The following is a 12,585-nucleotide window of genomic DNA, read 5'->3' as shown; positions in this document are numbered from 1 at the left end:
CCTGGCCTAAAAAACTTATTATTTAATATCAGTAAAATTAGGAATTTTGCTTTCAAAGTATTGCTAATTCTGCTTATATGAGACTCTATTGATTTTTATATATTATTCCAATATTTTGTTCTACCAGTATATAATGTAGGAGCTAGTGGTGAGGATTTTTCGTTATAGCAACTAGAAAACTGAGCCTTCATAAATAGTCTTAGAAAATCTACTAAAATCTAGTAGATCTGGCCATGAAACTGGGTTCCTCTTTCTCTTGCTTCTTATGAGAAGTACAGATATTTCTTACTTGAAGGAGACTACTGTTTTGGAATGTATTTTGTTGTTTGTGGTGTTGTTGTTGTTGTTGAGTTGCGGGGAGGGTAGATTTGGTTGTCAATAATTATTGGGTAGTAAGGGCCAGTGATGCTAAATGTTCTACAGTACATGAACACTATTATACAACAAAGAATGATCCTATCCTAAATGTCCCACCATTAAGAAAACATCCTTTAGGGAAATGGTTCCTCAAACCTGAGTGTGCACCAGAATCATCCAGAGGGCTTGTTAAAATATAGATTGCTGGGCCAGAGCTTCTGATTCAGTAGGTCTGAAGTGTGACCCTGGAATTTACATTTTTAAGAAGTTCCTAGGTGATGCTGATGCTGGTTGAGGATCACACTTTGAGAACCTCTGCCTTAGGGAGACTGAGGAGCTCACACAGATGTTTGTTCAAGTAATAACTTTAACTCAATAGTTTTTGGTTAATCCATTTGTTTTCATAGAAAAATTTCCCTAATCCTTTTATTTTTCCTGAACGGTATATAGGTCATATAAGTTACAAAACTCAACATAAATTATCATGAATGAAAATTCTGAGGGTTTTATGTGAAAACTATTTTTAGAGAGCAAATTGTTTAAGCCCGATTTAGTAATTTGGGAGTTATAAGCTTGTGAAACAATGGTTAGGGAGAAGTGGTACCCTCGGCCAGGCACGGTGGCTCATGCCTGTAATCCCAGCACTTTGGGAGGCCGAGGCGGGTGGATCACCTGAGGTCAGGAGTTTGAGACCAGCCTGGCCAACATGGTGAAACCCTGTCTCTACTAAAAATACAAAAACTAGCCAGGCATGGTGGCAGATGCCTGTAATCCCAGCTACTCAGGAGGCTGAGGCAGGAGAATCGCTTGAACCTAGGAGGCGGAGATTGCAGAGAGCCGAGAATGCGCCATTGCACTCCAGCCTGGGCAACAAGAGTCAAACTCTGTCTCAAAAAAAAAAAGAAAAAAGACAAGAAATGGTACCCTCATGTCAGGGTGCAACGTCAGATTTCTGATTGAAACTACTGCAGGTTTGAAACTTTGCTTTTCCAGCATAATCATACACAACAGACAGTATAATTGGTTTAGCTGGTGCACAGATACGCTGGGTGGTATGTCTGATTGCTGTGGGTCATAAATAAAGCACAGGCCAGGCACGGTGGCTCATGCTTGTAATCCCAGCACTTTGGGAGGCTGAGGCGGGCAGATCACGAGGTCAGAAGTTCAAGACCAGCCAGTTCGAGACCAGCCTGGCCAACATGGTGAAACCCTGTCTCTACTAAAAATATAAAATTAGCTGGGCGTGGTGGCATGCACCTGTAATTCCAGCTACTCAGGAGGCCGAAGCAGGAGAATTGCTTGAACCCGGGAGGCAGAGGTTGCAGTGAGCTGAGATCACGCCACTGTACTCCAGCCTGGGCAACAGAGCAAGACTCCGTCTCGGAAAAATAAATAAATAAATAAATAATAAGAATAATCTAAGCACAAGGCCCCCATCCAGTTCTGAGAGAAGACACTGAATCTATATGATTTCCCTAAGCCTGGGTTTGGCATCTACTACCATTAAAACCACCTTAAAGTACATTATGGGCCAGACACCAAGATTCATGCCTATAATCCCAGCACTCTGGGAGGCACAGGCAGGAGGATCACTTTAGGTCAAGGGTTTGAGACTAGCCTGGGCAACATAACAAGACCATGTCTCTACAAAAATATATATATATATATATATATATTTAACTGGGTTAACTGGGTGTGGTGGCAGGTGCCTGTAGTCCTAGCTGCTTGGGAGGCTGAGGTGGGAGGATCCCTTGAGCCTAGGAGTTCAAGGCTACGGTGAGCTATGGTCATGCCACTGCACTCCAGCCTGGGTGCCAGAGCAAGACACTGTCTCTAAGAAAAACATGCATTCTGTATTTAAAATTAACTTTAATTTTTAAAATAGTTTAGAGAATCTTGACAGGGAGCCACACACTGATGGAAACTATCCTTTGCCTGGGAGAAATATTTGAAGTTCTATTTTATTTTAGTTAGGTGTGCTGACTGTTGACAATCTGGAATTTTATTCCAGTAGAAAGATCTAGTTTAGAGTTGCTTTTAAATGAAGAGTCAGCCAATGAGCAAATGCAAAGCAAAAATTTCAAATAAATTGACCTGACCCAGAGTTCCCAATATTTTTAAGTGCTTAGAATAGTGCCTGGTATGTAATAAGTGTGGTTTAAGACTTAGTTGATATTAGTAGTAATAGTATAACTTAATATATATTCTAAACCGAACAAAGCTGGAATCCTTCTCAACCTTGATGTGATCTATACAATTGATCACTGCTAAATAAATCACTGACCATTTGCTTTGTGGGAAACAGCCTTGCTTCTAATGTTTATCTGTTTAGTGTAGTAGCTGTTGTTTTTTAAACAAAGAAAAGGATCAGTTGAGTGTGTTTTCACTTTGAAATACTTACTTGCTAGTTCATAGCTTGCATTTTAAACTTGTTGTCATTACTGAATGAAAATATTTGTATTTCAGGAAAGTCTTTCAGTTGTTTATACAACTTACTGTCCTGCTCAGTATACCATCTATGAACCAGTGATTAGACTTAAAGGTCAAATGAAAACCCAACTCTCTCAAAGACCCTTCAGCTCAAAAGAAGTTCAGAGCATCTTATTAGAACCTCATCATCTAAAGAATCTCCAACCTACTGAATATAAAACTATTCAAGGCATTCTGCACGAAATTGGTGGAACTGGCATATTTGTTTTTCTCTTTGCCAGGGTAAGAATCACTGCTTATAGTTTTGTCTAAAGAGAAATGACTTACTTATTATTGATAAATTAAAGGATTTCTTTTGGACCACACGAAAAAGCTACACTCGACTATATTAAACTTTTAACATAAAAAAATTACATATTAAAATGTTATTAAGCTTTCTGCCATAGATGATTAAGGTTTCTTCTAATTTATGAATATTTTAGAAGTTTTCTATTAACCAAAAATGTAATTAGTACAATTAAATGTTAAATGTACAAGATTTTAAATTGAGAGGAGGATATTTTTAAAAATAAAATTTATGAAGTTTTTATTCCTTAAATGTTTCCAATGCATAGGAAAAAACTAAGGGTCAAAAAATACTTTAAAAAAAAAAAAACTTTAATTTGTTTGGGTTTGGAGTTTTTTCAAAAAAGAGACATATAAAGTTTGACTCAGGCCATAAGTACCATTTTCGAATGAGTCATTTAATTATCTGTCCTGATGCAAAGTAGACAGTCAGTAATTATAGACTATTTCAGGGATTGCTGAAACCTATGTTAGGGAGCACCAACAGTCTCACTTTAGTAAAAATCATTTCTACTTCCTCTGGATCCACATCCCTGTTTAATTAAAGCAGCTTTGATCTTCCTTCATCCTCGGAATGCCATCTTCGTTTTATCCCTAAGTATAACTTTTGCAACATTATCAAGTTTTCATAGTCTCCCTATCTAACTTTCTTTAATGGAAGCATCGTTGATTAATTTTGCAATAAGAAGCATATCAGCGTTTGTTGTTGTTAGGGTTCTTACAAATATTTTGTTAGCATTTGATCCACCATACTCTGTAATCTGTCTTTTCTTCTCCACCTCTTCCTTTTTCATAGTTTTTTTAATCTAGTGTCTAGTTAAATAGATTATCTCCTAGTGTTTTAAAATTAAAAGCCCTTTAACTCCTCACCAATATTTTGTGATATTTTGTACCATCGTATAGTTTCAAAATGTATATCCTTGTTTTCTTCTCTTTCATCAAGGTATTGAATATAATTTTGTTATTGTTACATAGAGATTGGATCTTAGATAAAATGTTTACATTTTTATCTTTATATGTTTAGTATCTTGCCAATAAGACTTTTAAAGTATGTTTTTAAGTCTAAAACTTATAAACCTTGTTCAGTATCCTTCCTCCTCCCCTACAAAAATAAAATTCAGTGTCCTTAAAATCCTTACATGCATAACCTGCCTTGTGAACCTGGTCTCTACAATCCAGCCAAAGAGGCAACCTGCAGCTTCCTAGATGTACTGTGAACTTCCAGTTTAGGCCTTTACCCTTCCCCTGGCTGTGCCCTGCCTTAGCCACCCCTTTATTCCTGCTTTCCAGGATTTGGCTCTCTTCCTAGGCCATCTTCTCTCTGTGTAGCCTTCCCTTAAACCAAGCAGAGAGGGATCAGAATGGTCTCTGTGCTCTCCAGAATACCTATTGTCTCATTCTTCTTTGGCCTTTAGCATGATAATAAGTGTGTGTTTCTTATGTATATAGTAGTTGTCAGAAAGTGTTGGTTGAAGTAAATTGACATACAAGGCAGGACATGTGGTTTTTATAGATACATCTTATCTCTTTGACAGGACAGTAGACCCCATTGGGAACAAGTATCATGTATTTTACTTCTTTTTATCTCCCTTACCACATAATGCAGAGCCTGTCTATTGACTAACTTATCAAAAACTTATGACACTTCAGATCACTAGTTATAAAATGCTACTGGCCACTAAGGTTGTGTGTCATTGTATACTATAGTATATATAAGAGACTATAGAACATGGAGTTTATGCCTTACTCTCAGTTTTGTTTATTCACAAGCCTTACATAGGTAGAGTATGAGCATTAAAAAAATACTTTGTAGAAACTAATGGATTGATGTTACAGAATGGAAGATTATACATGTTAAATTTTTACTCTCAGCAAATTGGGAGAAAACTATATCCACCCATTTTTTTTTTTAGGTTGTTGAACTCAGTAGCTGTGAAGAAACTCAAGCATTAGCACTGCGAGTTATACTCTCATTAATTAAATACAACCAACAAAGAGTACATGAATTAGAAAATTGTAATGGACTTTCTATGATTCATCAGGTGTTGATCAAACAAAAATGCATTGTTGGGTTTTACATTTTGAAGGTATGTCTTCATAAAATTTATTCTTATAGTTTCATATGCAGTGATACTCATCTCGTCATCAAAGTCTTCCAATAATAGTTTTGTATTTCAGTTATTCCTGAAGAAAATGGAGGAAACTTATTAGTGTATAGTTAATCAAACTAAGATACTCTTCTAGTTCTTTTCATCATTTAAATAATTACATTTTTCTTTTCTTTAAAGCATTTTTTAAAAGTAAGAAAGAAAGAAACTCATTGAATTTTAGACCTGGGTGGGCCATAGATATCTCCCATGCTGTCCCTTCATTCTGTAGATTGATGAGATCTTTGCTTTAGCTCCCACCCTTATGGCAGAGAACCCAGTTCTCTAGGCACCTAGAGGCATACCATTCCATTAGGCACTGCTGCTACAGAGTTAGTTTTTCAAGTCACAGATATTCGTGCTCATTTTTATTATGATCCCGCTATCATCATATATTTAAATACATTTCTAGATGAAAGCATTTGGTAACATTGTGGAAATATTTCTCTCTGAGACTTCTGGTACTAAGGCAAAAGACGATTGCTCTACCCTTGCCTCCACCCCTACTTCTTTAAACTGCAAGATCCATACATTTGTGGCATGAATCCTTACTACTTTTTTGAAAACGTTTTAAAGCCTAATAGCAGATTAATTCAATTTAAAACATAAAAATTGAGTGCTGTTTGTTTTCACCCCTTGTTTGAACCTGAGTACTCACTTAAAAATATTTGTAAGTTTGGGATTTTCTACTTATCTGAATTGTTTTACAAAACAAGTTAAAGATACTTTGTGAAGTGTTAAATTATTTACTAGCTTTCCTTTGAATTTAATGATTGCTAAAATTGAAAGCTTAATGTTTCTGTTGAACTTCCTGATTAACCAATTACTAATGCATCTTATATTAATGCTAATTTTCTATAGACCCTTCTTGAAGGATGCTGTGGTGAAGATATTATTTATATGAATGAGAATGGAGAGTTTAAGTTGGATGTAGACTCTAATGCTATAATCCAAGATGTTAAGCTGTTAGAGGAACTATTGCTTGACTGGAAGATATGGAGTAAAGCAGAGGCATGTAATATGTACTTTTTTTCCATTTTTTATTGTGGTAAAATGCATATAACACAAAATTTACCATCTTAAGCATTTTTAAGTTTCAGTTCAGTGGCATTAAGTGCATTTACAGTGTTGTCCAACCATCACCACCATCCATCTCTGTAAATCTTTTTTGTTTTGTAAAACCAAAACTTTGTACCCTTTAAACAAATGTTCTCCCTCTTTCTCTAGCCCCTGGAAACCACCATTCTACTTTTGACTAATCTAAGGATCTCATATAAGTAGGATCGTATAGTATTTGTCTTTTTGTGATTAGCTTATTTCACTTAGCTTAATGTCTTCAAGGCTCATCTGTGTTGTAGCATATGTCCAAATTTCCTTTTTAAGAATGAATAATATTCCGTTCTATATATTTATCACATTTTGCTTATCCATTCATCAGTTTAGAGACACTTGGATTGTTTCCACATTTTAGCTACCGTGAATAGAAGCATATACTCGTTTTTTTGTTTGTTTGCTTTTGTTTTTGTTTTTTTTTTGAAATGGAGTTTTACTCTTTTGCCCAGGCTGGAGTGCAGTGGCGTGATCTTGGCTCACTGCAACCTCCACCCCCAGGCTCAGATGATACTCCTACCTCAGCCTCCCAAGTAGCTGGGACCACAGATGTGTGCCACCATGCCTGGCTAAGTTTTAGTATTTTGGGTGTAGACAGGGTTTCACACATGTTGCTCAGGCTGGTCTTGAACTCCTGAGCTCAAGTGATCTGCCTGCCTCGGCTTCCCAAGATGCTGGGATTATAGGCATGAGCCACCACCCCCAGCCAGCATATTCTTTTAAATATTTATCTAATCATTCTTCTGAAAGAAATAATTAATTTATTACTTCATTGTAATGTTAATTATAAATGGAAATCTGGCACTTATTTCCCATGCAAAGTTTTGAACAGCCATGGGGAATGCTGAGCTGGAGAGTCAAAATCAAACTTGGGCTGGCTAAGAATACTGCAGTCAGGCAGGAGCATATGGGCTTATCTGGATCAGCTGAAGGCTTGCATTTACCATAAACTCTGAAAGGGGAGACTGCTAAGAGTCAGGGGAGTCAGGTCCAGGAGAGGGAAATGGATACACTTCTAACTAGGGGAGCCATGCTGGCCAGGAGTTAGAGATAGGACCATGGTATATAGGGCAAGGCTTCATCGTAAGTACAAATTAAGCAACATAGATTGATCTTAGATGTAGGCACTACATCTCAGCACCTGGAATGGCTGGGCTTGTCTTCACAAGGACCCAGTCAGGGAATGAGTATAGGGTTGTTTCCTTTCTGCCCTAGTTTTAAGCAATCTTAATAGTATAGGCTCATACAGCCTTCTTAGTTCTAGTGTAGACTGTTTGCTCTAAGTGTGGCAGGGTTCTAGTAGGTACTGATGATTTTTGCAAAAAAAAAACTAGATTGTCTAGAACTAATTAGAATATAACAAGATTATCAACAAATATTATTTATAGAGCAATTCAGAATATATATACCTTTAGAATTTTTTTAAAATGGTTATTCCCAACTTGCCAACAGTCCCTAAAAATTTACACATTACCAGTAATGAGTTATGAGGTTGAAAAAAGACTCCTTTTGTTTTTTGAAACAGGAGCACACTCTGTCACCCAGGCTAAAATGCAGTGGCACCATCTTGGCTCCCTGCAACCTCTGCCTCTCAGGTTCAAGTGGTCCTCCTACCTCAGCCTCCCAAGTAGCTAGGACTACATGTGTGCACCACCATGCTTGGATAATTTTTAATTTTTTTTTGTAGAGATGAAGTCTCACTATATTGCCCAGGCTGGTCTCAAACTCCTGGGCTCAAGCAGTCCTCCCGCCTTGGCCTCCCAAAGTGCTGGGATACAGGCGTGAGCCCCCCATGCCTGGCCAAAAAAAAAAAAAAAAAAAAAAACAAACTAAAAAACCTTTTCTAATCTATTAGTAATAAAAATAAGTTTAGTTCAAATATGCTAGAGGAAAGAGAATTTTCTATTCTTCCTATAGAAAATTATATTACAAAATTGTTGTTACATGAAGAGGCAATTCAAGAGTATGCAGCCACAAAACAGAGAAAAGTATTTTGAAAGGCATGTCCAACAGCCAACTAACTATTGCCATGTTTCTGGATTTTGTGGTATTCATGGTACTTTTCAGTTTTTTAAACTTTGTAATTGGTTGTGATGCCTTTTCTCACTCTGAATAAATATATACTTTCAGATCTAAAAAAAAAAGATAAGATAGATTAAAATATGTGTAATATTGCAGGGAGAAAGCAAATAATTACAGGGATAGCATATGTAAACAAATTGGATCAAAAGCAGTATAAATGTATAATAAAGAATATGCTCAGTTGCAGGTTGGAAAACCTAACTTGGACAAAGTTGGACAAAGTTTATTTAGTACTTCAAAAGAGCAGGCAAATTTGGGGTTGTTTGATTTTAAAAGAAACATTTTTAAATTGAATTTGAAAGTGATAAGACACATATTACTTCTATGGATTTGAAATAAGATTTTCTTACGTAATTAATTATATTTGAACTAAGTCTCGTTTTTCTTTTTTTGTTGGTATTTGTTTGTTTACATTGGCACTATTTTATCTTGGTACTACTTTTCAGATTTGAATCATGTTTTCATACTTTGGCTGCCTTGTCTGCTGGTTTTCGTGTGGCTTTGTCTTTTAGAATATCTTGGCTCTATCTTATAAAGAGAGAGACCCTGGGTAGAAGAGTATGATTAAGTCTATCAATATCTTGGTTCATTATTGCCAGATAATGGCAGGAGAAATAGGCTCTGCAACCCAAGCCAGTTAATTTTGCTTTTTGTTAAAAGCTTTATTGAAAGGTCAATTAGGATAATAAGATGAAGGGAAGGTTATCTTTCAATATTAGTTATCAGTGTAAGATCTCTTTTTTTCTCTAGTATTATGGACAAGTTAAGATTGATTCAATATGGGAGAAGCATTTTAAGGCACTGTCAAGGGATGCTAACTACTCTTTGAAGTGCATAGTTTGTAATCATGCAGATAATTCTATTATTTGAACTTGAAAGTAAATTAATCTAAAATTGCAGAATTTTCACATTATCCATGACTCTTCAATTTAGTATGATTTGCTCTAAAATTTTTTGGTTAAATGCTGCATATGCAGATTGGTATTGAAATGTGTACATTTTTAACAACACTCTTTGAACATAAATTATTTAAAAACAATAATGTTGGTAATGTGTGTGCTTCTCTAATTTGAATAATCCCTCTTGATAATTCATCTTTTGAAAATACATTTAATGCCACAGAAAGGGTAATGTAGGAAAGCACCTAATACAATATTGTATTCAACATAGCTATTTAGAAATAGCCTATTGGCAACAAAAAATAATAGGGAATAAATTTTAACATTGGCTTTTTGCAGACATGTAATCTTTGATACTGAATATATACACAATGTTAAATTGTTGCGCGTTGTGTGTCTTCCAAAAAGCATGCTGCATATTTTTCAGTAAGTATGTGCTTATTGGTGTGTGTTTATCTCTTCAGCAAGGTGTTTGGGAAACTTTGCTAGCAGCTCTAGAAGTCCTCATCAGAGCAGATCACCACCAGCAGATGTTTAATATTAAGCAGTTATTGAAAGCTCAAGTGGTTCATCACTTTCTACTGACTTGTCAGGTTTTGCAGGTACTTTTCATGTAACTTTACTTTTGGAAATATATTCCACAGTTGTTTAATAATACTATGAACATCAAATTTTTGTGGCACTTTCAATGGGACTTTTTTTCTTTTTTTTTTCCATCTTCTCTCCAGATTCTCTTCTTTCAAAAAATAGTACAGGAGTTTTTCAACTGCTGCATCTTACAGCTTGATCATCACGCTGTCATAATTCCTAACTCAATTACAAAAGTACAATTACTAAATTTCTTAGATGTTTCTTTATGTTGGGATAGAATAATAGTTTTGTACTGCCTTGAACAGCAAGAATAGTTAATGAATTTTAACTTGTTCCATATTCCTTAAATAAATATTTACAAATATGTATTGCTTTAATAAATATAAACTTGCTAACGGTCTATTTTATATGCTAGAATTAGCATTTTAAACTGTATCCAAAATTTTTATTAAAAAGTGACACTAATTGTATCAGTTACATTGTAATGTCTATGCTGTGGCCCTTTTAGTTAATTTTTTTCTCTGCCTTTATTGATATCATCTAATACCAACCAAACAGATAAAAGGCATTGATAAATATCTGCTTGGTTGGTATATTAGACAATTTTCCAAGTTTTTTTTAATGTCTAAGGCATCGATTAGAACTTTGTCAAGTTAGATAAGTACAGATACTCCATGAGATCAGTAATATTTTATATTTTGAGCGCCTTTGCTTCGGTGGCACTAAGGGCTTTTCATTATAGTTGGGCTAAAATTCAAAATCTGTGACAACATCTGTAAGAAGTGTTAATATGAGAAGGCTTATATGATCTGGCTACCATTCTAGCTTCATCTTATGGTACTCAGCCTCCCTGGATTTCTTTCCCTTCCTTAAACAAGTAAGACTTTTTTCTGTCTCAGAGTACATGGTATTCTTTTTGCTTTAACAATTATTGATCCCATTCTTTTCATCTGGCCAACTCCTACTTATCCTCCACGTGGCAACTTAAGACTTACTTCCTGAGAGATACCTTCCCTGCCCTTTCCATATAAATTAGTCTTTTTCCCTTTATACACTATGTACATACAGTTTGTTAGTTATTTATGGAATTATGGTTTATTTCCCTCTGTAAGCCTCCTGAAAGCAGGGATATGGTTTTTGTTTTGTTTTGTTTTAAATCACACTGTAATGTCAGTACTTGACACACCTGGGCATCTGATAAATATTTGTTAAATGAATGAATTCCAAAAACACAAAAACATTTTATTGCCTTTCTTGGCCCCTGTGGTAAATTAGACTATTGTTGTAGGGAATAGAATATGTCGATTGATCCTTCAGGCCCCTTGCTTACTGAGTGTTTTATGCATCATTTATACATCAGTTTTCCTCAAAATTTTTTCCTTCGCATGTCCATTTTGAAATATATTGGCCAATTTTCATTAAGTTCATATGACAATGTGATATTCTTATTCAGTCTTTGCATGTCAGAAAAGTGGCACTTATAAACTTTGAGATTTCCATATATTTTTTCACTTTTGTATTATTTACAAAAATGCTAGAAAAAATCTAGGTACAAATTTTTTTCTTTACATGTATAGTTCTTTACCCTTGTTTGTTCAAAGAGCCCACTTATCAAATTAACAGCCATTTATTAAACATAGCTTTATGTCAGGTATTGTGGGAAGTTTATAAAGAAATGAACTTAGTCTTTGCCTTTAAGTTACCTCAGAGTGTTTGTGCACTTTAGGAAGATTAATAAATTGGTAGTATATTGGATGTAAGGCAGTTTCATTCATTTGTGAGTACAGCATAAAGAACCTGAACCCTGGTGATTAAAATGGGAGTGTTTAGTAGGGAGCAAATATGGGAGAGATTATAAGGATAGAATTCATAGGACTTGATTCTTTTTAAATGGAGCTTCAGGAGGAGTCAAATATAACATAAAATTTCAAGCCGGGAGACCAGAAAAACAATAATTTCATAAGAAAAAAAAGCAACCTTGTAAGTTTTGTAGTTTTTGTATCTACATTTGAAATTACAGCAGGATATTCAGCAACAGTGAACTGGTAATAGTGAAGCCATCAGGATAGAGAAGCACTCCAAGACAGAGAAACGTAGTGAGAGAATCAGAGGACTGAGGTTTACACCTCAGGAGATACCCATTTTCAGGATGTGAAACCAGAAAAAGGGGCTATTGAAAGAGATACAGAAAGAGTAATTGAAAAGCTAAGAGGAGACTCAGTAAAGTGAAAGCCAGAGGTCGGCAGAGGGGGAAGAACATGTAGAGAAGAAGATGATACCTTGAACCAAATGATATAGAAAGTTCAGAGAAAATGTAGGCAGATAAAGGGCCATTGACTCAGAAATTCTTAATGACTTACAAGATTTCAATAGCATGGATAAGGCAAGAGCCAGATTTCAGGGACTTTGGACAGCATGTGTGGCAGATCATTGAAGGCAGTGAGAACAAATGATTATTAAAAAGTCCAGCAGCAAAAGCAAAGACAGAAACAGAATGTTCATATAAGGTAAAGTTAAGGGATTAAAAAAATAATAAAATAGAATACCAGTGACTATTGATAAAGAGTCAGTGGAGAGGGCAAGATAGAAGTAACCTGGGCTGGACTTGGGAATGAATCACTGAT

The 12,585-nt window shown here is 35.5% G+C and overlaps 1 protein-coding gene across 16 annotated transcripts in view; it reads left to right on the top strand.

The window, feature by feature from the left end:
• LYST (lysosomal trafficking regulator) overlaps positions 1 to 12,585 on the top strand; it is a 222,683-nt gene that overhangs the window by 103,582 nt on the left and 106,516 nt on the right. For all 16 annotated transcript variants that reach the window (XM_011544032.2, NM_001301365.1, XM_011544031.2 and 13 more), the window contains 4 exons: positions 2,824 to 3,069; positions 5,046 to 5,219; positions 6,141 to 6,290; positions 9,835 to 9,972. In XM_011544032.2, the coding sequence (XP_011542334.1) occupies positions 2,824 to 3,069; positions 5,046 to 5,219; positions 6,141 to 6,290; positions 9,835 to 9,972 (708 nt within the window). The remainder of the gene's footprint in view (positions 1 to 2,823; positions 3,070 to 5,045; positions 5,220 to 6,140; positions 6,291 to 9,834; positions 9,973 to 12,585) is intronic.

This window comes from Homo sapiens, chromosome 1 (genome assembly GCF_000001405.40).
Source record: "Homo sapiens chromosome 1, GRCh38.p14 Primary Assembly".
Taxonomy (NCBI): Eukaryota; Metazoa; Chordata; class Mammalia; order Primates; family Hominidae; genus Homo; species Homo sapiens.
Note: the sequence above shows the minus strand (reverse complement) of the source record. Positions and strands in the feature narration are given on the sequence as shown.